The sequence below is a fragment of the Homo sapiens genome, chromosome 3 (assembly GCF_000001405.40).
Source record: "Homo sapiens chromosome 3, GRCh38.p14 Primary Assembly".
In the NCBI taxonomy this organism is placed as follows: domain Eukaryota; kingdom Metazoa; phylum Chordata; class Mammalia; order Primates; family Hominidae; genus Homo; species Homo sapiens.
In genome coordinates, this window is record NC_000003.12 from 78,329,467 (window position 1) to 78,350,989 (window position 21,523).

Below are 21,523 nucleotides of genomic sequence, written 5' to 3' on the forward strand. Positions count from 1 at the left end.
TTCTGACACTTTTTTTTCCCAAGGGAAATACCATATTAGTGGCATATCAGTCCCTGTCAGACACTTAAAGAAGTTAAGGGTTGAGGTATGGGGGTACTCATTCTCTTCCCCTCTTGCTCTGGGAGCTGGGGGACATTGGTTTAGGAAACTAAGTATTCCTACCTGTACTTTTGAATCCTAAGACAGTAAAGCAAAGGCAGAGAGACAAACAGAAAATTCACAGCAGTCGTGGCAGGGTTGAAAATGTTGTGGGCTAGTAAGCATCTGCCCTACAGTAGTGGCAGCAGCTGTGGTGGCAAATGAGAGTCCACTGTTGGTGGTTCTAGTGTCAAAGACATGATCTTGCCTCTGTTTTCATCAGTCTAGTCTCTGTTGGTTCAAGTCCAAATTCTGAGTCTGATTCTGGAGCCTTCCCATGATACTGCAATTACCTTATCCTTCCAGTTAAATTATCTGCTTATTTCACCAGAATTGGGAATTTCGTTGTTTGCTACCCAGAACCCAACAAATACTGGCTGCTGAATTAGACAGATTTGGGCATTCAGTTCCAGTTTCACTATGTTCAAGCTATGTGAACTTAGCCAAATTGTTTCACCTCCTAAAAATGTAAAAATAATAATAATTGTCTCTTTAGTTTTGGTTTATTGATCTGTATATTAAAGTTATTGTTATGAAGATCAAATGAGATAATGCATATAAAAACAGTACAGCATCTGCTTGGAATACATTTGAAATATAATCAGAGAAAAGTACATTTCACAAATAAAATTACTCTAAGATTAATATGAGTGAATATAGACAAGACTTTACTCTTACATTTTTTCAATATTTTTTTTTCCTGAGAAACATGTAGAGTTTAACAAAAAATAACCATTAACTTTTCTATCATATTCCTCTAATCCATTTCTGTTGCTGTATCAAATCATCATTCCTTCTTTCTACTTAGAGCTCATTCAATACTGTTTTTTAAAGTAGTGATATTGGTATTTTGGATGGGACAAGTGTTTATTGTACACGGCTGCCCCAAGCATAGCATAATCATCACTGATTATTGCCCATTGATATGGTTTGAATATATGTCTCCACTAAATATCATGCTGAATTGTAATCCCCAATGTTGGAAGTGGGGCCTGGGGGGAGGTAGGGATCATGGGTAGGGATCCCTCTTGGTGTGGTGCTATCCTTGCAATAGTGATTTCTTGTGAGATCTGGTTAATGCAAAGTGTGGCACCTCCCCCCGCCCAACCACCACTCTCTCTTGCTCCTGCTCCCTCCATCTGAGATACCTGCTCCCCCTTTGTCTTACGTCATTATTGAAATCCTCTTGAGGCCTCCCCAGAAGCCGATGCCAGCACTATGCTTCCTGTACAACTTGTGGAATTGTGAGCCAATTAAACCTCTTATAAATTACTCAGTCTCAGGTATTTATTTACAGCAATGCAGGAATGTCCTAACAGGCCCACGTACGAGCCAAGGAAAAGTTTATCTCCATCCTCTAGAAGTTCACTGAAAATGAACTAACAAAAAGTGGATTATAGGAGAAAAAGGCATAGGAAATTTATTTTAATATGCATATGGATATGAGAGCTATACACAAAGTGAGAGACTCAATGAGGTGTCAAATGATTGAGGCTTAAATATTCTTTTCATAGGGGAGAAATGTATGGACCCAGAAAGCAGACATTATTTTGAAAATGATTCTCTATGGAAGTTAGATGGGAAGGTTATGGGAAGGTGAGAGGCAGAACTGCACAGGAACAAAAATTGTCTTATTATGGAGAAAAAGTCCTCCAGGTAATCTCTGGGAGCTTCCTCACAAGAATAAATACAAAGTCTGTTTGGGTGTGGTGATGACTTCTAGTCTCATCTCTTCTGTGGTGGTTAATCTTTCCTGGTTAATTGATGATGTTCCTCTTTTATTTCTATAAAAAAATACATGAGGCTGGGCACAGCGGCTCACGCCTATAATCCCAGCACTTTGGGAGGCCTAGGTGGGTGGATACCTGAGGTCAGGAGTTTGAGACCAGCCTGGCCAACATGGTGAAACCCTGTATCTACTAAAAATATAAAAAATTAGCCAGGCTTGGTGGTGGGTGCCTGTAATACCAGCTACTCTGGAGGCGGAAGCAGGAGAGTCACTTGAACCTGGGAGGTGGAGGTTGCAGTGAGCCGAGGTCACGACACTGCACTCCAGCCTGGGTGATGAGAGTGAAACTCTGTCTCAAAGAAAGAAAAAAAAGAAAATAATACACCTGAGACTTTGTGATTTATAAAGGAAAAAGGTAATTGGCTTATGGTTCTGCAGGCTTACAAGCCGCGGCTTCTGGGGAGGCGTCAGGGAGCTTTTACTCATGACCGAAGGCAAAGTGGGAGCAGACACATTACATAACCAGAGCAGGAACGACAGAGAGTGTGGCAGAGGAGCCACATACTTTAAACATCCAGAATTGGAGAGAACTCACTCACAGCCCACTACCACAAGGCTACCACCAAGCCATCTGAGATCCACCTCCCGACTCAAACACCTCCCAGTAGGCCCCACCTCCCACACTGGGAATTACATCTCAGCATGAGATTTAGCAGGAATATGTATCCCAACTATATCAGAGGGAGTCTTAGGACAATTGCATTTCCTTTAGGTATCTGTTCTAGGTAAGAAGCCTCATGTACAGAAAGAACTTAGACTTTGGATTCATCTAGGGATAGACCGCAGACCATAGACAAGTTATTCATTCTCTCTGGGCTTCAGTTTTCTCATCTGTTAAACTGGAATAAGAATTATATCAACTGGATGAGATTGATGTGGGATTACGTGAGGTAATATGTGTAAAGCACTTCAAATAATGCTAGACACAGAGTATGATCTCAGCATGTTAGTTGCTACCAAGCCATCACACTAATATTTTTAATTATCTATGAACTGGGACTGAAATTAGCACCACGTCATCAGATTTTAAAAAGTAAATGAGATAAAATATGTAAAATGTGTACTTTTTCATAGTAAATTCTCAGGGGATGTCAGCTGTTATATTATTGTTCTTAAAACTTTGGTTTACTTCCTATAATATGAAGTCAAGAAGATGGATGCTGTGGTTTCCTCTATGTAACAGGGCAAGTCTTTCTTCCCTGTAATATAACAAATGGAGCTTTATCAACTACCCTGGCTTTTGGCAAAAAGTAAATTTTCAAACTGAATGTGCTTTAGAATAATTTTCAGACAGTTATAAATGTAACTCTCACACAAAGATAAAATGAATATATGTCAAAAATTTCATTAAACTCATTAATGAAGGAACCAGTAGGATGTTAAAACAAGTTCAATATAGAGTTTATAGAGCAAAGCTAAAGCCAAGAATGTTGAAATGCATTTTCTAAGAGATGCAAAACTGGTTAATATCCTATAGGACCATATAATGTAATAATTGCTGTTATCTTTTCTACAGAGCAAAAATTAATTGTATATCATCCAGACAAAATTTACTTACATTGATACAGACAAGAATCACTTTTATTACTGTCAGTTTTCTATAATTTAACTTGTATTCCTGTAAGTGCTAACCCATAAAAAGCCAGTTAAAGGTACATGGCCCTATGGAATCAGATCATCTCTGAAAGTTTGCATGACAAGACTCAGCATTTTATCAAAAGGACACCTAATAATATTTTTTGCCCATTTCCCATCTTGAACATTTATTTTCAAACAAGTGCTGCTTCTGAATACTGCCCTTTCAAGGAGAAGTTATTTATTCTATGACAATTTTACAATACATATTAGACAGTCCCCTCCTATCTATACCACTGTGTGTATATGTTTATAGACTTTTTAAAACATTGTTTGCCAACTTATTTTTCCAGTTGTATTTATTTATTGGTATATAAAAAGACTACACATAATTAATGCATACAATTTGGTGAGTTTGACCCACCTGTGTGTTACCATCACCAAAATTCAGGTAATAATTAAATGTTCTTCTCATTATAATCAATGAAACTCATTAACACATTGTTATCACCCAAAGTACATAGTTTAAATTAGGCTCACTCTTTATGTTGTACATTCTATAAGTTCTGGCAAATGTATAATAACATATATCCACTATTGTAGTATCATGTAAAGTGGTTTTACTTTCCTAAAAATCCTCTGTGCTCTATTCATCCTTCTCTCCCTCCAACCCCTGGCAACCACTGATGTTTTTACTGTTTCCATAGGTTCGCCTTCTCCAAAATGTCTTATATTTGGAATCATACAGTATGTAATATTTTCGTATAAGCTTATTTCACTAGTAACATGCATTTAAGTTTTCTCCATGTCTTGTTATGGCTTCACAGCTCATTTCTTTTTAGCACGGAATAATACTCCATTGTCTGAATGTACCACAGTTTGTTTATTGATTTGTCTACTGATGGTCATCTTGGTTGTTTCCAAGTTTTGACAATTATAAATAAAATTGCTGTAAACATTTGTGTCCAGGTTTTTGTGTGGCCACAGATTTTCAATTCCTTTGGGTAAATATTAAGAAGTGTGATTACCTTGTCATATGGTAAAAGTATGTTTAGTTTTATTAGAAACTGCAAAACCATCTCCCAAAGTGGCTGCACCATTGTACATCCCTACTAGCAATGAATGAGAGTTCCTGTTGCTCCACACCATCTCCAGCAGTTAATGTTGTAAGTGTTTTGGAATCTGATCATTCAAATAGGTATGTAATGATATCTCATTGTTGTTTTAATTTGTAATTTCCTAGGGACACATGATGTGGCGCATATTTTTATATGCTTATTTTCCATCTACCTATTTTCTGTTCATGTATTTTGTCAGTTCCTTTAATCACATTGTTGATTTTCTTTCATTAAGATTTAAGAGTTCTTCGTATATTTTGAATAACAGTCCTTTTTCAGATGAATATTTCATAAAGATTTTCTCCCAGTCATTACCTTTTCTTCTTTTATTCTTGACCATATCTTTTGCAGAACAGAAGTCATTAATTTTAACATCATCAAGCTGATCAGTTATTTCTTTCATGGAACATGCCTTTGGTGCTTTATCTAAAAATTATCATCATACACAAGGACATCTAGATTTTCTCCTATAAGTTTTATAGCTTTATATTTCATATTTAGGTCTATGATCCATATTGAGTTAATTTGTGTGAAGGTTGTAAAGTCGGTGTGTAGATTCATTTCTTTGCATGTGAATGTTCAGCTGTTTCAGCAGAATTTATTAAAAGGACAATCTTTGCTCCATTGAATTGCCTTTGCTCCTTTTTCAAAGATCAGTTGACTATATTTATGTGGGTCTATTTCTGGGCTCTCTGTTCTGTTCTATTTATCCTGCTTAGAGTTCTCTGAGCTTCCTGGATGTGCAGTTTGGTATCTGACTTAATTTGGAGTAAATTCTCAGTTATTATTGCTTCAAATATTTCTTCTGTTCCTTTTTCTCTTTCTTCTTATTCTGGTATTCCCATAAGGCATAAGTTATACCTTTTATAGTTGCCCCACAGGTCTTGGATAGTCTGTTCTGGCTTTTTTGTTCTGTTTTGTCTTGTTTTCTTGGCTTTTTTCCCTTTGACCTTCCATTTTGGAAGCTTCTATTGACATATCCTCAAGCCCAGAGATTCTTTTCCTCAGCCATGTCTAGTCTACTAATGAGTCCATCAAAAGCATTCTTCACATCTGTTACAGTGTTTTGATCTCTAGCATTTCTATTTTTTTTCTTAGAATTTCCATTACCCATCTGTCTTTGCAGGTTGTGTATTTTATCCATTAATGCTCTTAGCATAATACTCATAGTTGTTTTATATTCTCCATCTGATAATGCCAACATCCCTGCTACATCCACGCCTGGTTCTAATGCTTGCTCTGTTCTTCAAACTGTTTTTTTTTCTTTTTTGCTCTTTAATCTTTTTTTAATAGCCAGACATGGCATACTGGGTAAGAGGATCTGTTGTAAATTGGTCTTTGGCCATGTAGTGGTAAGGTGGGGGAAGTGGAAGAATTTTTTCGTCCTATGATTAGGTCTCAGTCTTTTAGTGAGCCTGTGCCACTGAACTGTGAACTGCACAAGTATTTCTCTCACTTTAGCGGGGATAGGATGACTAAAGGACACTGAGGCTGAGTATGTTCCTTCAACCAGGTAGGTTAGAGTTTGGTAAAACCCAGCAGGTTAGGCTCTGTAAAATATATTCTCCCAAGGATAAGTCTTATTAAGAAAAACAGAATGCCCTGGCATATGTCAAAATGATTCCTTTTCCCCATCCCTTGCCAGAAGCACAAAGGAATTTTTCTCCAATATTCACTATGAGAACCTGGTTGAGCTCCTGGAGGTAAAACTCACCAAAATGTGCCCCTCCCACAATGCCCTGGAGTTTTCAACTCTCATCCTTGTCCATACTGAGCCTCCAGGATTTGTCAATTACGGTTTTAAGGTTTCCCTAGTAAATACTAGTTCTGGAGAAGTTTGCTCCTGGGTTTCTCCCTGTCGGTCATTCCAATTTTGGGGGTAGTGGTTTGTCCTGTAATCCCATTCTCTAACAAATCTATGAAGGGTTGCTGACTTTTCAGTTTCTCAGCTTTTTACTTACTGTAAGGACAGAGTGAAAACTTCCAAACTCCTCAGATGCCAGACAGAAAATCCTTCTACTGTTTTTACTGTGATTTTACCTACAGATTTGACGTCATACATTCCCACTTGTGTGTAGCCCACACATTTTCTCCAAATTAACCTAGAATTGCCATTGCCACTTCCAGAATTTGACCAAAAAAATTATCTAAATATGCTTTCTGGTTATAGTAATTGTCATGGGAATACTATGACTAAGAGAAAAACGCTACAAATATGGGATTCATTTTGTTCACAGAGAGTTATCAATGTGAGGGAAAAGAGCAATGTATTTAAAAGCTGTCTCTTCTTGTTCACAGGTACTAAATACTGTCCATCTCTTTAAACATTTTACCTCTCTACGGGCCCCATGGTAAAGTGAATTCTACTCTTAACTATTTGGAAAGCAGTTTGTTAAGCAGAGAAACACTGAGCTGTGAATTAAAACTTCTAATGTGACACTGGAGGCACATAGAATTTTATCCAGATATTATAGAATATTAATGTATTTAAATTTTATTAAGCAAGTCAATGGGAGTAATTTCATGGTGATAAGATATCTAATTTCATTGCCTTCAGTGGCCCAGCTTTGTCTCATGTTTTTGTCCATTTTTTGCAGGCTTATAGCTAAACTGCTCTACACATAGACATCATCTTCTCTATTTTAAAATATTCGGACACCTGCAATAACACATAGTCATAAAGCTCTTTTATATTGAGTTATTCATCCTTCAGCTTGTTTTCATTATAGGTCTATTGGAAGATTTCCACCCTCAGTCTTACTCTCTTAGCAGTTAATTAAAATATTCTTGCTACTGAAATGTACTATATAGTTCCTATAAATTAGGGGATGTCAACTATTGTAGTTTTCTTAGAGTAGCTAGGATTCTTCCTTTTTTAAAAATTCCCACTATTTCATACTTGCAGCAATTTAGAAAAATTGCCAATGCATCAATTAATGCCAATTGTCTAAAGGCTTCTATAATTTGAGCTTAAAATGCTAGCTCCAACCATAGAGCTTTGTATTTCCATGAACTGAGACTTAAAATACTGGGTTCAATGTTCATTTACCTAATGTTCCCCGGTAATAAAGACATCTATTAAGGACATCTGTTGCAATTTGGTAACCTCTAATTTTAATGGAAAATAATAGAGTTCATGTCTGTAAGATTAGAGGTTATGGACTAGGTCTTTACACTGGTTTGGCGTCCTGGATATAATGTTCTGCCAGCCAACCTAATACATTCGCAAAAGGCCCAAAGTCTTGGTTCTGCAGGCCAATAAAAAGAAATAAAGAAAGAAAAACTTTTCTATCTTGTCATTTTGATCATTGCCTTGTTGAAAATCTGTCACCACCTGCTAGAAAATAATACTTTGTTTCTCTTTTTAAAAAGCACATGAAGAGACAAGAAACCAGTGAATAATTACACAGTAAAATGTACTTTGCCAACTAAAAACAAGAGGGTGGGAAAAGGCAGAAGAGAGAAGAGAAGTAGAGAAAAGGGTAGGGATGAAAATCTCTGAAACTCTGTATAGTCCCCCAAACCCCCCATAGAGTTCATGGCCTTTCACTGATACTTAGGTTTTCGACATTTTTCTCTTTGTAGGGGATGGGGATTCGGGGGTGAGAGAGAGACAAAACCTTTGCCTCTTGAACTGACAACCTACAGATAGTAAAAAGAATGCATCTGAGAAAACAATTATATCTGCCAACTTCAGCCACTGTAACAATGAAATCGTGACTGTTTTTAAATTCAAGCCAAACTTTAGCATTCCTTTTGAATCCAAGTCCTTAATGGCATTTATGACTCTCATGGGTATTTATTTTAGCTGAATATCTTGCATTTGCTATGCCAAGAGCAATCCCAAGTAAAAAGGATTCCTGTCACTTTATTCAGGCTTCAACAAAAAGCACCCAAGCCAGTAAATCACTAAATGGGACTACCAACTTCCTATGACATGCATGAATAATGCCTTAGCAGTCAGCTCACCGGAAAAATTAGAATGGGAGTGAAAAAAATCCTGTAAAAGTATGCCTTCACAAGCTGAGCCCAGAACTCTATCAAAATCAATTTCTTCCATTTGACATCTGAGTATGTTGAAATGTTCTAACAGGAAGCAACAGAATCAAATTTCTTTTCAACTTGCGTTCTGCATAAAGGAAGAATTATGATAACCAAGCTCTCACCAGGCTTTAGGTATTACTCAAAGTCCAATGTTAACTTGAGGCCACCTTGAGGCAGGAAAAACAAAGATGAAGGCAAAAATTTGGTGTTGGACACCTAGATTGACAAAAATCGAGCAAGTCAAGTTTCACACAACTATGTTTTTTCTTCAGTGACAGAAAGTTGGAAATGTCCTTGATCCAGTTTTACATTGGAGTATCAAAGGAAAAGGTTAATTGTGTAAGACAGTAACAAGATTATGGAATGGGTGTAGAAAGTTAAATATCTTTTACTATGATCAGTCCTCTATATAACAGTCCATACAACCTCCTTCATCGAAACCATGAGGCCCCTTGTAACTGAAACTATGTGCTTAACATCTTTGTTAAAGGAAACAGAAAGTCATTGAGATGCATTCAAATGTGTTCCTTTTGCTTTTTAGTCAGACTGTGCTTGCAGTTACCTTTGCTTTCTAAATATAATAAACCCAGAGTTAAGTCATTAAGTGTTGTCACCGAATGTATAAATGGCCACCTTACACATTTCTAAATGAATATCTCATTTTACATGTTGTTTTCTTCAAAAAAATTTTTTATCTTAAATTGATTACCCATTACCAAAATGACAAAGAAATTTTTAAATCCTAGGAAAGAAACAAGTTTTTAATGGCATAGCTAATGAAACACATTTCTGTTGTATTTTCTAGTATATTAATTTATTTCAAAGTATTTCTAAATGTACCAAAATTCACATATGTTTTGCTGAGTTTATTTCAAAATGATTTAGTAGTAATAAAAAGTAGAGTTTTTATATTATACTAATTAACATTCTTATCTTGAAAGGTCTGACCTATCATTTTGTATTAGTAATAATACAGAATTTTTCAATAAAAAATAAATAAGAGAGCTAAGGCATCATTTTTTGCAGGCTCATGTGGCTCTTTTGGTGATTTATAGACTAATCAATCATTAATAGAATTAAAGGCCATTTATACTAAATAAATTGCTTATCGCTGCAGCAAATTGTGTTTTGAGATTTACTGGTAAAGACTATAAATTGCCAGTCATGTTATTAGACATATAAATCACACCGTTACTGAAAATTGATTATCTGACTCCAATTTTTCTGAACATATTGTTACTCTTGCTTATTATTTTTCTTACCTAGGTCAGAGAAGTTCAACGCTACAGTGAATGAAGAAATGTGCAATTCTAGTATCTAAGGCTAATACTCTAATGTTTTTTGTTGTTGTTTTCTTGTTTTGTTTTGATTTCAATATTCTTTGAGATGAAGAAAATAAGATTTTTGCTTTTACATAATATTGTAGTATTGTTTTTGTTTTTTCTATTCACTGTCTGCTATGGTTTGAATATTTGTGCCTCCCCCAAACTCATATATTGAAATCCTAACCTCCCAATGTGATGGTATTAGGAGGCGGGTCCTTGGGAGATGATTAGCTTAGGAGAACAAGGCACTCTCTAATAGGTTTAGTGCCTTAAAAAAGAAAAGTGCTCTCTTCTACCATGAGAGATTATGGTGAAAAAACCATCAGAAAGAAGGCCCTCCCCAGAACTCGACTGTGCTGGCAGCCTAATCTTGGCTTTCCAACACTGAGAACTGTATGAAATAAATTTCTATTGTTCATAAGCCATCCAGTCTATTGTATTTTATGATACTAGCCCAAATAGACTAAGATACTACCCAAGTCTAACTATCCCAGTCTAACTATATAAAAACTAATATATTTTTAAAAAATCATTGCAAAATATCTCTTGAATTTTATGATGGAACAGTGTTATAACAAATCCATAATGAACACAGCTTCGTCCTCCTCCTTTGGCATTTTGCTAAGATCCCAAATATATAGTCTGCTTCTAAGAATAGAGGAATCACAAAAAGTTAAGGCATGCACTATGAATATTTGTGGTGTTTTGATGGTTTTTATGATAATTATTTAAGAGATAAGGTAGCATGTATTATTTGCATCTAGATGAAAAATTGGTTTAGGAGAACATTCTGGATACAGATTTTGAGTTCTAAATTAGTATGCTAGTTTCCCTGTCACTTGTCTTTTCCTATCTGGTATATGATACACCCTACACAAAGTTACCAGAATATTCTTTTTTTGTTTTGTTTTTGAGACAGAATCTCGCTCTATTGCCCAGGCTGGAGTGCAATGGCAGGATCATAACTCACTGTATCCTCCACCTCCGGGCTCAGGGTATCCTCCTGCCTCACCCCCTGAGTCGCTGGGACTACAGGCACGTGCCACAATGCCCAGCTGAATTTTATTATTTTTAAAATTTTTTTGTAGAGAGGAGGTCTTGCCTAGTCTGGTCTAGAACTCCTGGCTGTAAGTGATCCTCCTGCTTCAGACTCCAAAAGCACTGGGATGACAGGTGTGAACCACCACACCTGGGCAGAATATTCTTACATATGGCTCTCATGGTTCCTCCATTATTTATAGTATAATTTTCAAGAATTCCGTTTTCTCAAACTACTCTTCACAAGCTCTGTCGTCCAGTCAGTCAATTCCAAAAAGTGATTGTTACCTAAACACCCACGTGCCAGATCCACTATGACTGCCCTTATCCCTCTGATGGTGCATTGCAGCACTACCACTACCATCTCCATCCTTCAGGGCCAGCTCAGAGACAACCGTCTCCAGAAAGTACTCGTTTTCATCAAAATGCTAGCCCTGTTTTATCCCCTTAGGAAGTATTGCAAATTGTCAGTTCATCTCACGTACTTATATTTCTATTTATGCATTTATCTACTGTATCTACCTTTTTTTTTTTTTTTTTGAGATGGAGTCTCGCTCTGTCACCCAGGCTGGAGTGCAGTGGCGCGATCTCGGCTCACTGCAAGCTCAGCCTCCCAGGTTCACGCCATTCTCCTGCCTCAGCCTTCCGAGTAGCTGGGACTACAGGTATCCGCTACCATGCCCGGCTAATTTTTTGTATTTTTAGTAGAAACGGAGTTTCACCGTGTTAGCCAGGATGGTCTCGATTTCCTGAACTCATGATCTGCCTGCCTCGGCCTCCCAAAGTGCTGGGATTACAGGCGTGAGCCACCGCGCCCGGCCTACCGTATCTACTTTTAAAATTTTTTACCACAAAATGTATATACCTTCTTATAATCTACAACAGGCAGAATGTAAATTTTAACAAATAGGCGATCATAGCTTTTTATTTCAGTATTTCAGGTATGATGTACTTTATAGAACAGAGAAGTGTCTCCACCAAATCACTTGCTAGCAATCTGATATATTGTGATTTGATAGCAATTCAATAACACACAATTATCAAATGATTTAATTAACCTAGAAACAAATATCTGCAAATTAGAAACTAATTTTAAATATCTTGCAAAATTCTCCATTCCCATCAGGTCTGCAAATGTAAGATCTTGCAAATGAAAAGAAACAAGATCTGATCACAGATGAAGGAATTCAGAGTATGCCATCCTCAAATATGCAAGTTCGACCTAAGGTTTACTTTGAGCTGAAAGCAATTAAAAAAGAAACAGACTCGAGAAACTCTCTGCCCTCCCTGTTTCCCTCTCTACTAGGAAAGACAGGAGAATGCCTAATCAGAGGAGACAACTCTAGACCTTAATTAGCCCAGAGATGGCACCAGAAGCATCTGCATAACAAAACTTACTAACTAGCCCTTATCTTCTATTTGAGCCCACCCACAATTTGCTGCCCTAGAAATTCAAGTCCTGGAGTCTCACTCTGTCACCCAGGCTGGAGTGCAATGGTGCAATCTCGGCTCACTGCAACCTCTGCCTCCCAGGTTCAAAAGATTATCCTGCCTCAGCCTCCCAAATAGCTGGGACTACAGGCATGTGCCACCATGCCCAGCGAATTTTGTATTTTTAGTAGAGATGGGGTTTCACCGTGTTGGACAGGCTAGTCTCGAACTCCTGACCTCAAAGGATCCACCAGCCTTGGCCTCCCAAAGTGCTGGGATTACAGGTGTGAGCAACCACACCTGGCCATCTTGTCACTTTTCTACATTATTTTTCTTTGCTAAGATGTCATATAAGCTCAAGTTCTAACCAACCCATTGAGTTACTACTCAGCACTGAGCATCCATCGTGTGTGCGTGATGCACATGTTAACAAACTTCTTACAGTTTTTCTCTTTTTGATCTGTCTTTTGTGTCTAATTTACAGGGCTTCAGCCAATGAACCTAAACTAGACACAGGAAAAATAAACGGTTTCCTTCCTTACAAAGGAAAAGGGTACTTTGCTTTTCTGATGGACCACCACTGAGCCACAATGGTGGGGCAGTAAAAATACAGAAGATGAGAACCTCTGGAATGAGAAACACCTATGTTCAAATTTCAGCTCTCACTTATTTGCTATATTATGATAAAACACACAGACACACACACACACACACACACACACAAGCTGTTATTTGATGCATGTAATAATTTTTAGCTTAAACTTTGCAAAAAATTTATGTAAAATCATAACTTGGTCCCATAATTCTTCAAATATATAAAAAACTCATGCCCCTTTGGGAATAAACTTTTGAGCAAAGATGCAGAGCAAAATGATAGCACTGTTTCTTACATATTCACGCTGTGTTTAATCATCATAAATGTCATGACTTGTGCTTATACCTGCAAGCTGAAGTTTAGAACAGAAATACATATCCAATTAATTTTGTTACAACTATAAATATCAGGAACTCTTTCAAAATCCAGAAAAAGGGATTTGTTAGTTGTTTTTGTTGTTTGAGTCAGTGTTAGTTATATTTAATTAATATGACTTCCCTCCTATGAGTACACAGAAATGTGCAAAGAAAACATCCAACTTTACTTATCCCTAAAGATTTTTAAAGTAAACCATGACAGTAATACCTTTCTAACACTTGATTACAGAATCACATTTGAACTATGTACAAGATCTTAGGATGTTGGAGGTGGTAGGACTGTTCCTGTTTTTTCACCATGCTATGAGTACCATAAGTAATTTCTTCTAACAAAAGGTTTTTCAAAGGTCTATTATGGCTAAGTTGTTAAAACTGCTGGTAAATGGTCTGAGGGTTTCACTAAACCACAAACCTTTCTGCAGGTTTCTTTTTTCCTTTTTTTAAAAAAAATACGTATTAATTTCCCCATGGGTATACTACACCTTAGGAACTATTTTTTTTCCCATGAAATGGAATAGCCCTTTGGTTGAAGGAAATAAAAATATGTTGCTGTTATTCTTAGCCATTAAACCAATATTTGCTTTAGTCATAATAGAATTCCTTTTATAGAAGCCAGTTAAAGGAAAATCCCTTCAAAATTACAACAACAAAAAAATCCCTCCAAAACTATATGCTTTTAAAGATAACTATACATTTGAGGAGAGATGTGACTAGAATCATTTCAAGAATTATTTTCAACTATAATTAATTAAACTATTGTCTATTTGTTTTTTTCTTTTTGCTTTCTCCTTTTGTTTTGAACAGTTGCCTAACTAAGTGATACCAACCCCAGACAAAGTCATTAGCACTAGAAGATGCAGAGTGTGCAAGAAATATAAAACCTTTCCCGAAATGTGAAAAAGCCAAAGCTGATTTTGAACTCTTTAGATTGTACCTGACTAGCTCTAATAAAAACTCAGGATTCAGGTGACCCATAGGTGCCATGTGGAAGTGTTACTGGGGGTCCTTGCTCCCAGAGCTCCCAAGAGGGTGGTGGGCTGCTTCCAAAATGGCGGCAGGCAGCTTTCAAGATGGTGGCAAGCCTCGTGTTCTCTGACGTGGGGTTCTTGGCCTCACAGATTCCAAGGAATGGAATCTTGGGCCATGAGGTGAGTGTTATAGCTCTATTAGAAGCCGTGGGTCACGGAAGAGAACGTGGAACCCAGTGACTAGTGTTCAGCTCGATTAGGACGAACCTGGGCACTCAGCTGTGCAGGAACAATGGCAAGCCTCTAGCAGAATCAGGAGCGGCAATGGGCGCCTTGCTGGATCAGGAGCACAGTGGACACCCTGCTGGATCTAGAGGGATGGAAGTCAGTGGCGGGTCTGTGTCTGCGACAGCGGCAAACCCCAGTGGTGGATGGCGAGCGAAAGCTCAGCTTGAGCTGTAACAAACACAGACCAGAGAGTGCAGTTGCAAGATTTAACAGAGTGAAAACAGAGCTCCCATACAAAGGGAGGGGACCCAAAAGGGGCTGCGTTGCTGGCTCGAATGCCTGGGTTTATATCCCTATCATTGTCCCTCCTGCTGTGCTCTCAGACAATAGATGATCAACTATTTCTTTACCTCCTGTTTTTGCCTAATTAGCATTTTAGTGAGCTCTCTTTACTCCCTGATTGGTTGGGTGTGAGCTAAGTTGCAAACCCCGTGTTTAAAGGCGGATGCGGTCACCTTCCCAGCTAGGCTTAGGGATTCTTAATCGGCCTAGGAAATCCAGCTAGTCCTGTCTCTCAAAAGCACTTAAGTCACAGACACAGAGAATAGTCTTCTTTGGAACACTCATCAAATTTGCCTAAGTGAATATGGAAGGGAAGAATCGTTGCAACTTCATAACACATTGAATCACATTAGTTTTAGCCTATACAAAATACATAACCCTTTCCTTAATGGGTGTTGCTTGGTTATTGTTGCCTTTATCTTTCTTTCTTTTTCTACTTCTGAACAAATATCCTATCCCACTTCCTGCTAATGTTAAGGTAGAGGTTAGAGGGTAAAATATACACTCGCAACTCTGTAAAACAAGTAAGGCACCAGATATTCAGTTTTGGATTATCATATCAAACTGAAGTCAGCTCATTAATCTACTATTTTCTCCCTAAGATTCCAAATCGACACTCTTACGCAATTTAGTAGTTACCAAAATGATTAATAGGTTTCTCTGGTGCTAACCTAATTGCTATGACACTAAAGACAAGAACATTACAAAAGATAAAGCATTGAGGTGAGAATTACCTCCCTCCTAGGCAACAATCAGCAGTTCAAGGCAATTCGCCAGCTTCTTTGAGCAACGAACAAATTACTGTCACCAACTATGGTTTTCGCCTTTCTGGATTCAAATGGAAGATGTTATTAACAAACCCTCATGACCAGGTCACTATTTTCTGTCTTATCCAAAGCTTATGTTATAAAATTTCTCCTCCGGAAAAAAAAAAATTCATTAAAAAAATTCTAATTAGTATTCTTACATTTCACTTTCACATAGCATCATATTTCCATATGTGCCATAGACTGAGTTTTACTTAATGTAATATCACTAACCTAAAATCAAATGAATGTGTAGATGTATTTAACAAACAAGAAGTGAAGTGCAGAAAAGGCAATAATCTGAAGACTCTATGCGTTAGTTCCATTTGTGCCATGTGTATATTTCCAAGGAATGTACTTTTCTATCAAAGTACCCACAGTATTGTTTTAGCTTTTTCATTTGCTTTTCTCTGTTTAGATGACCTATTCATAAAATGTCCTGTGGGCTATGTCGACAAAAGGAGTCAAACTCTTTGAAATATTTGAAGAAATTTATTCTGAGTCAAATATGAGTGACCACGGTCTGTGACACAGCCCTCAGGAGGGCCAGAGAACATGTGCCCAGGGCTGTCAGGGTGCAGCTTGGTTTTATACACTTTTAGGGAGGCATGAGACATCAATCAAATACATTTGAGAAATACATTGGTTTGGTCCAGAAAGGCAGGACAATTTAAAAAGTGTGGAGGGGGCTTCCAGGCTATAGGTAAATGTAAACATTTTCTGGTTGACAATTGGTTGTGTTTTTCTAAAGACCTGGGATCAACAGAAAGGAAATGTTCAGGTTAAGATAAAAGATTGTGGAGACCAAGGTTATTTTGAAGTCTCACAGTGGCTGCCCTTAAAGAGGAGAGATGACAACTGTTTCCTATTCAGACCTTTAAAAGGTGCTGGACTCTCAGTTAATCCCTTCAGGATTGGGAGGGCCTGGAAGAAAAAGATCTAGCTATGTTAATAGAGATTTTTTGCAGATGCAAATTTTCTCCCACAAAGGATGGCTTTGCAGGGCCATTTCAAAATAAGGCAAAGAAACATGTTTTAGGGTAAAATATTTTGATTTTCTTCTTAGTCATGTAATGTTATGCCAAAGTCAAATTGGAAAGTAAGTCACAATGAGGCAAGAAAATAGGGTCTGGAGGCAGGGAACATAAGGCCAATTCACACTTCAGCTATAACAGGAAATATCCTCTCCACAGGGCATACCTCATAAATGTAACTTTACTTCATCCTCTCCATTTACATAAGGTGTACCCAAAGTAACCAATGGAATCCTCTAGGATGTAAACTCCCCAAAATTCTGTAACGGGGCCTTTGAGCCCCTGTGCTCAGGCCTGCAACCACACTGTGGGGTGTACTTTCATTTTCAATAAGACCCTTTATTCCATCCTTGCTTTGTGCGTTTTGTCCAGTTCTTTGTTCAAGACACCATAAACCTGGACACCCTCCACCTTTAACAACAATATATAGAGTTCAATAAAACCTATCTGATGAGAATTTGTGGTTTGTAGGGCATAACTCCCCAGAACCCTTAGATCGGAATTTGGACAAGATGAGAAAAAATCAGAGCTTAGTCCTCAACTACAAGGCACCAAAAACACATACTAAAAACCGAATAATCAATAAAATCTTAAATTTTCTGTTTCTTTTTTTCTTAGTGTTTACAAATTTCTCACATTAAATTGAAATATGACTTTCAATTAGTTAAATGACTATGAGTTAGTTATTTTCATAACAAACCTAAGTCTCCTTTTATGCTATCTTCTACCAAAACCAAGTTCATTAATAGATGCCTGTGTTTTTTATTTAAATCCCTGAACACGAGTGATGGAAACATAAATTTCTAAATTGAAAAAAATGTGTATGTGCTGATACTGTTGACTACATGTTCTATCCTATCATCTTAATATAATCTGCAATACCTGTAATTTCCCCTAAAATAGAGTTTGTCAGTTAAAAGAGAAATATTTTCTTTCCTTTTGTACTTTGTGATTCCAATACTTTATTAATCTGTTTAAAAAAGACATCCTAGGTTTCTTTAGGTTCTCTACTTGGTGGCATTGCCACCACTGAGTTTTTATTATGTAAATTATTGCAATCTGGTTAGCTCCTTCCGTCTTGTTTCTTAACAAAAGGGGTCTGCAAGTGCTAATCAAAATGTTGCAATTTACATATTAATGAAGTTTTTATAATGACATTTCCTTCATACACAGGGTGAGCAAAAGGGAGACTTTTTATCCTTTTTTGAGAAAGCAACCACAAAATTTTGACCTTATGAAGTATCTTTGAAACTTTCCAAAGCTGATTAGAATAGCGTTGATGTATTTTAATCAGATACAGAAAGACTTTACAAAGTATGAGCTGCACACTTGCTGTCGTAATGCTTATAAGCACTAATTTTTTTGTATACATTCATGTACTTGTAATTGCACAAAATGCGAAGGACACATTTGGCGGTGAGGATGCTGTGCACAATCAACTCCTAATCATTTTCAGGAAAGGATAAACATTCCGCTAAAAATGAGGAAAGACAAGAAATGTTCAAAAGCATGTCAAAAGTGTCCAGCTGTTTTCATAGAATATAGGTGATTTCCTGGTGCTAGCAAAATCCAGAAGAAACGTTATAATAACTAGAAATGTCTATAATTGTGAGGAAGCCCAAGTATGAAGATTCACAAAAATAGAATAAGTGGATGAAATTAGTTAAAACAACCTTCTTAGTAATGAGGTACTCTGATTATAAAAGTACTTTGACTCTTTAGAATGTGTCACTGAACACCAAGCTGAAAAAACAAATTAACAGTCTGTCACTAGAGCATGATCTCCCACAGACAATATGCTCATAAATGAAAAGACAGAGAGTCCAATATTCATTATTATTCAGTCAATGACATTATTAGGAAATTCAGGCAAGGAACAACTTGTGTCATATTTTCTTTAATTATCAAATGAGCGTATATAGGCACAACATTTGTAATGAGAATTATTTTTCAATCAGTAACATTCTTAAAGACTATTTATCTACATAAATATATATATTTAGTGTAGTTATAGATATATGCTAAAAGAGAAAAAAGATAAAAGTGGCCCAAATATTTTTGTCTGATTTCCTAATTATACTATACAAAGTATTTTATATGAAAAATTTATTGTCGCTAACAAGCCTGAAAAATTGCACTGTTTTTCCAAATTAAACTCCTTCCCCCCCCAGAAAATTGGTGTGAAAATTAGTAATTTGTTAGTTATTTCTAAGAGTAACAATGTAATATTTGATTTGTTTCCTCTAAAATAATTTTGTTATAAGAGACAACTTAGTATCTAAGATCAGCAAAATTTTTAGGATGTTGAACACTCTTAATAAATGTTAAAAATTAACTAATGTATCATAAAATAGTTCCTAAATCTGAAAAAATAAATATATATGTAGGTCAACTTACCTTGAATTAAATATTAGCTAAATTTTTTTTAGAAAATGGCAGTTGATGAGAACAGACAATTTGTGTTTTAGATTCATGGAAAGACACCCCAACGAGTGAAATAATAAGACAGGTCTTACTTCTTTTCACAACAGGACAAGGACACCCATTCAATTGGATTAGATGACGTGATGCCAAGAGCCATTAATCCAATCATTGACTTGTGCCTGCAAGTGCTGCCATTTAGACACATGGAACCACTTCCAGTCACATCTGGCCACTTGGGCATGTGAGTTGGCACAAGCATGCTATGGAAAGAATAAATGTCCCTGCCCAAACTACTCCAAATCGTTTAATATTTTGAGGTCATTTCTCTTTACAAAGAAGAATCCTTAAAACTAAAAAACTCTCAGCTGGGCATTTATGATCCACAGAAAGTTTATTTTTCTTTCTCTTCTTCACTTGAGTGGTTTGGTTTCTGAATAGCTTCAATCTAGCTCCAGGCTTTTGAACTGTTGATTGCTCATGTTCAGGCATTGATTTCAGGTTTTGCCAATTCTTTGAAATTGTACTTAATTTCAAAGGACTTCCATCACTTGCTAGAAGACCAGTTAGTGTAGAAGTGGACAAATGACTTCCCTCTGGGGAAACTGACCTTTTCCAACCACAGGTGTACATAGGCCTCTCAATGACAGAGAGTAATGGTTCTAATCTTTTGCTGATTTTCCCACAGGTCTCACAACTATTTCAGTCTCCAAAGGGGAAAAAAATATTTGCTTAATTTTGTTTGCTATTGTGTATCCCCATCCCCATTTATAATTACTAATGCTAAACATGACTGAATTTATACACTTGAACTGTTTTAAACACATTAAACTATAAACTCTGAAGAACCGAATGATATACAATTGTTAGTTATCTTTTTTTTATAGTACATGGTCATCCAAAATTAAAACCACGCGTGCAAACTTATACACATACACATACAACACACACACACACACACTCTTTCTCTCTCTCTCTTCAGTAACTCAACTAAAGCAATACAGATGCTTTAGAGATTCAATTATTTTCTAATTCTTTCTTTGCAATCATCAAATTCTGAACCACTCTTTGCTGACTTGGCTCTTTTATGAAACCTCACTGTGCCTTGTCTGTTTACCTCAACTTTATGCTGTGATTGTTTCTGGTACTATTTGATTAGAATACATAACAGCTGGAACTTGTCAACTTAATACATTTTTCCTCAAGAGGTATATTTGGGGTTATTTGACTTTAACTTAATCAAAACAGCATCAACATGGTTTCACCCTCCTTTTCTCATCTCAAAATGAAAGTGTAGGAGACCAGAGAGTAAAATCATGTTGTACTAATCGGGCTTTTTTTTTCCTTCCCCCAAGGCTAATACCTGGTACTCACAGAGTTTTGCCAGCCTAAGACTTATAAAATTATAAGTATATGTCAGGGTATCTGAAAAGAAACAAAGGAAGCATTTGGTTCAACTTGGATTTGCTGCAGATAAACAAATCTGGAAACACATTAAGACTCTATTAGGCAAATCCTATTGGAAAAAAAAAACTAAAAATACCATTAAACAATGTCACCAATGCCGAAGAGTGAAGTCATTACAATTTTAATTGATCTTCTGTTTGACATTGTAGGGGAGAAAAAAATTTTTTTTTCTCACCCATCACTAGGTTCATGGCTAAGATACCTATAACAAAAGACAGACTAACAAGAGAAAAGCCTAGAAACTTCCTCAATATAAGTTTTTTGCTAACAAATTAAGTTTTATGTGACACACAGTCTTCATAAATAAAGACCCAAAGAAATAGGGAAACCTGTTTTGTTTTGTTTTTTTTTGTTTTTTTTTGCTAAGTTAGATAAAGAAGTAGATAGCTGTGGACAAGTATGACTGGAAAAAGGGGGTATAATCTATTAATAATAAACAGAGGGAACGAACTTGGTGAGGCCTGTTTGCTCAGACTCGTTTCTATCTTTCTTTGCCTTCAGAGATAAGGATATATTTTTCTTCCAGGCGTAGGGTGAGCATTTCCCAAATGAAGGCCTTATAACCTACTTTAAAGGAAGAACAGGGAATTCTTTTATGGCCTATTTCAGGGGAAAAGGGTCTGGGAATATCAGAGTGACCTTCCGGCTTCTACTGTTTTTCTCAATGCCATATTTCAGGGTAGCGTGGTTCTGGACCCCAACAACATTGTATTTGTAAGCCTTATTTTCTATGTTTAAAGCAAAATGTATTTAAAATATTTTAAACAGAGGCTCAACAAATTCCCTAATAGCACTAGAAAATAATTATTTCACTTTTAAAGGGCTTG

General features: G+C 36.7%; 1 annotated feature.

The window, feature by feature from the left end:
- Positions 14,257-15,456: an enhancer, noted in NCBI's record as "CDK7 strongly-dependent group 2 enhancer chr3:78392873-78394072 (GRCh37/hg19 assembly coordinates)". NCBI's record gives its function as "activates an origin of replication core promoter dependent on BRD2, BRD4, P300/CBP, MED14 and CDK7 cofactors, with strong dependence on CDK7, by STARR-seq in HCT116 cells {active_cell/tissue: HCT116}" and the evidence as "EXISTENCE:reporter gene assay evidence [ECO:0000049][PMID:35650434]".